The sequence below is a fragment of the Homo sapiens genome, chromosome 2 (genome assembly GCF_000001405.40).
Source record: "Homo sapiens chromosome 2, GRCh38.p14 Primary Assembly".
Lineage (NCBI taxonomy): Eukaryota > Metazoa > Chordata > Mammalia > Primates > Hominidae > Homo > Homo sapiens.
The window spans coordinates 30,114,628-30,118,270 of NC_000002.12; the positions used below are offsets into that span (position 1 = coordinate 30,114,628).

The window sequence follows — 3,643 nt, forward strand, 5'->3', positions numbered from 1 at the left end:
AGACTTTTATCCTATCTGCATAAAGACCAGGTGAACCCACCAAGGAAAGTAATTGTTTTTCCTTCTTCTTCCTGTTATCTTATTATCTATCCAATGTAACCACACCTGAAGAGACCCTTTCACAGGATAACGTCTGTCTCTCAGGCTCATTCAATTTCCAGAGATAACCATTTACAAGTTAATCTATGTTCCCGATCCATTCATTCTCCCTAGTAATCATTTCTTGCCTCTCAACAGAAGTACCTATATTCCCCATCTCCCCGCTTCCATCTGAAATAAGGCTATGTAAGTATCTGGGCCCCACCAGGATATGGGGCAGTCACTCTGATTCAGCTTTGTGCATGCTAATAAATGTGTATTATGCCTTTTCTCTTATTATCTGCCTTTTGTGAGTTGATTTTTCAGCAAAACTTCAGAGAATGAAAGGGAAGATTTTCCCTTGACCTTGACAGCTGTTACTGGGGTTTAAGTGGAGGAGAGGGGAACATTTAAGAGAAAACTGTAATTTCTCAGACACCAGTTTCTCCATGAAAAATCTTGTGGGCTCACTTACAAAGCCCTTAGAATGTGAATCCACTTCCACCCCCGAGCCCGCTCCAAGATGATGGCACTCTTCCTTCCCATCTCCTCCCTGTTCCCTCCTGACAGCTCCAGCGCCAGTGTTCTGCTCTCAGAATATAAATTTAGCTGCTCGAGGAGGATGAGCAAGGCTCGTGGCAACTGTGCTCTCTGCAGGTGGTGTGAGTCACTCAGTCTCGAGAGGGGCCTCCTCCGGTCTTGTCAGTATCTTCGGCCCTGGCTGGGCTGGCTAAGCACACCTGCAGCGCCGGCTCTGGTATCGGGATGGTAGCTCACCCAGGGAGCTAAAGCTGTAATTAAACCCACCCAGAAGATGTTCCCTGTGTCTGACCAACTTGTTCGCTTTTTTTTTTTTCTCCTTTATACGATGTATTCCCAGTGGACAAGTTATTCAGATCATCTGGTGAAAGCAGACCCACTTCCTGGTAAAATAAACATGCCTTTCTTTCCATCCCAATGTCTAAATGCTTAAGGAATTTTAAGCCAAATCTGATATTTTTCCTTTTTAGCGCTTGCCATTGCACACTGGTCTGCTTCTTCTAGGCTGTCCCATAAGCATATATTTTTTCACTTCTCTCTGGCCCATGTTCTTCCCAAATGCCCAGCACTTCCTGAAGGCCAGGTTCAGTGTCGCACTTTCTCTAAACAAGGGTGCAAGGCCACCATCTAGTGTTCAACAGCGGAAGTGCAGGTCTGCAACAAGTCAACTAGGTCGGACAAGTGCACTCCAGTGGGATCCCTGAATGTGGTTCCATCCGCCGCCATTTCTGGGAATGTTGTGACAGTTTGTCACAAAATCGGACAGGCTGCATACATTAAGCAGCTAAAGAAACTGATGTATAGATGAGAATTAAAAAACATTTCTCTACCCTCTCCCAGTGTAGAGCGGTGACCAACCATTCTGGTTTTTACCTGGGACTGAGGGGACTGCCTACGACCAAGGACTTTCAATCCTAAAAGCAGAAAAGTCCCAGGCGAAGAGGGAAAAGTTGATCACCCAATAAGGAGAAATAAAATGGCTCTGGGAGCAGAAACTTGTAAGAAATAAGAGGCCTTGGGCTTCTGGTTGGCGGTGGAAGACAGCTTTAGAAGAAAACTTTTGTTTTTATAGAAGAGATGGCACTGTACGGTTATCAGAGGGAGGAGGCTCAGTCAGACAGCAAAGAAATGACCTGGGGCATTAGCCCAAAAAGTCCTGATCAAGAGGCTGGGCTGGGCTTAGGGGATTCTCTGGTGGCCTCCAGACCGAGGAACCTCAGTTACAATTGCTCTCCTGTTATGAAGGCAGGTTGTGCATCTGCTCTTACAGGCGTGCCCTTGCTGCTTTGAGCAGTGTGGTATTTGTATAAATCTCTAAGATGGTGTCAGTGCCTCAAATGAACTCAACTGGGCTACACTCAGGAAGCGAACCAGAGCTTGCTGTTTCACTGACCATCTGAGAATGCCCCAGTAAGCAAGGGGACTTTGCAATTGCACCTCTGCCACTGGCTGTATGACACTGAGCAAGTGACTTAACTGTTCTGAAAGTCCCTTTCTTCGGTGGGCTGTTGTGCAGTTGGATGAAGCAGGCATATAAAGTCCTCTTAGCCCAGTGTCCAGCATTTGGCCAGCTCTGGGTGAAGCCTGTCTGTCTTTGACCAAGCAACCCAGACACAGTCCCTGGCCCTGAAGCCAGAGTCCTGGGGCCTCTTCTGTTCCTTCCAGCAGACCCCCCAAATTGAGCCTGCTTCTTTTTCTGTTTAGAGTTTCTACCACCTACTTCTTGCTTTTCTTCTGACCTGGTACTCACGCACCCTTCCCCTTACTCCCAGGACTGGCTGAAGAATGGAGATTATAACAGCAATTGTGAGATTCACCAGATAATTCATGCAAAGAGCCTAGAGCAGGGCCTGGCGCTAGGCTCTAGGCTAGCAGGTCAGAGCTTAAAAATGCTCCTGTCATTGTGGCTCTCTCACCTTCACTTCCAAGTTACAGGTCCTGTTCTTTGCTGGAGTCTAAGAAACTGAAGTTCAAGAGATCCCCCAAATTTCACCCTGAAATCTAAGCAGTGCGGAAAAGCTTCAAAGGCCTTCCTGGTTCACTTATTCATCCATGCAACCAAGTTTTATGGCTCCTACGCCAGACATTGTGTGAGGTAGGAAGAAGCCACTGAGGCCAGGCTCAGTGGCTCACATCTGTAATCCCAGCACTTTGAGAGGCCAAGGCAGGAGGATTGCTTGAGTCCAAGAGTTTGAGATCAGCCTGGGCAATGTGGCAAAACCCCATCTCTACAAAACTTTTAAAAATTAGCTGGGTGTGGTGGTACAAATCTGTGGTACCAGCTACTGGGGAGGCTGAGGTAGGAGGATCGCTTGAGCCCAGGAGGTCAAGGCTGCAGTGAGCCATGATTGCACCACTGCACTCCAGCCTGGGTGACACAGTGACATCCTGTCGCCCTTCACCCAAAAAAACCCACCTGCGAACAGGACAAATGCAGCCACTGTCCTCCGGGTCTTATAGCCAACAGGGAAGCCAGCCATTAAAGGCAAATTATGACAAGATGCCAAAGATGGGGCTTGGGGGGCTGAAGGAACGGGGAACAGAAAACTTCTCTCCCAGGGGGTCCAAAAGGCAGCCATATTTAAATGAGACATGAGGGATGAAAGTGGGAATGAGCTCACCTGCCAAGGAGTGAGGCAAGGGGAAAGGCACAGAGAATTCTCAACCATAGGGAAGAAGCAAGAATGGCCAATGCCAGGGACTAAGAAAGGCCAGAAGACAGAGCCAGAGAAACAGAACATGGAGCGGGGGCACCCCAAGGAAGGCAGGCGGGGGCTAGAATTTGCAGGACTTGAAAGTGTAAGGACAGGGGACTTCTTTTTTTTTTGAGACGGAGTCTCTGTCGCCAGGCTGGAGTGCGGTGGCACGATCCCGGCTCACCGCAACCTCTGACTCCCCAGTTCAAGTGATTCTCCTGCCTCAGCCTCCCGAGTAGCTAGGATTACAGGCACCTACCACCACATCCAGCTAATTTTTGTATTTTTAGTAGAGCTGGGGTTTCACCATGTTGGCCAGGATGGTCTCG

The 3,643-nt window shown here is 48.4% G+C and overlaps 1 annotated feature.

Annotated features, from left to right (window-relative positions):
• Positions 1,309 to 1,358: an enhancer, noted in NCBI's record as "active region_15532". NCBI's record gives its function as "activates an Ori minimal core promoter by ATAC-STARR-seq in GM12878 lymphoblastoid cells {active_cell/tissue: GM12878}" and the evidence as "EXISTENCE:reporter gene assay evidence [ECO:0000049][PMID:35858748]".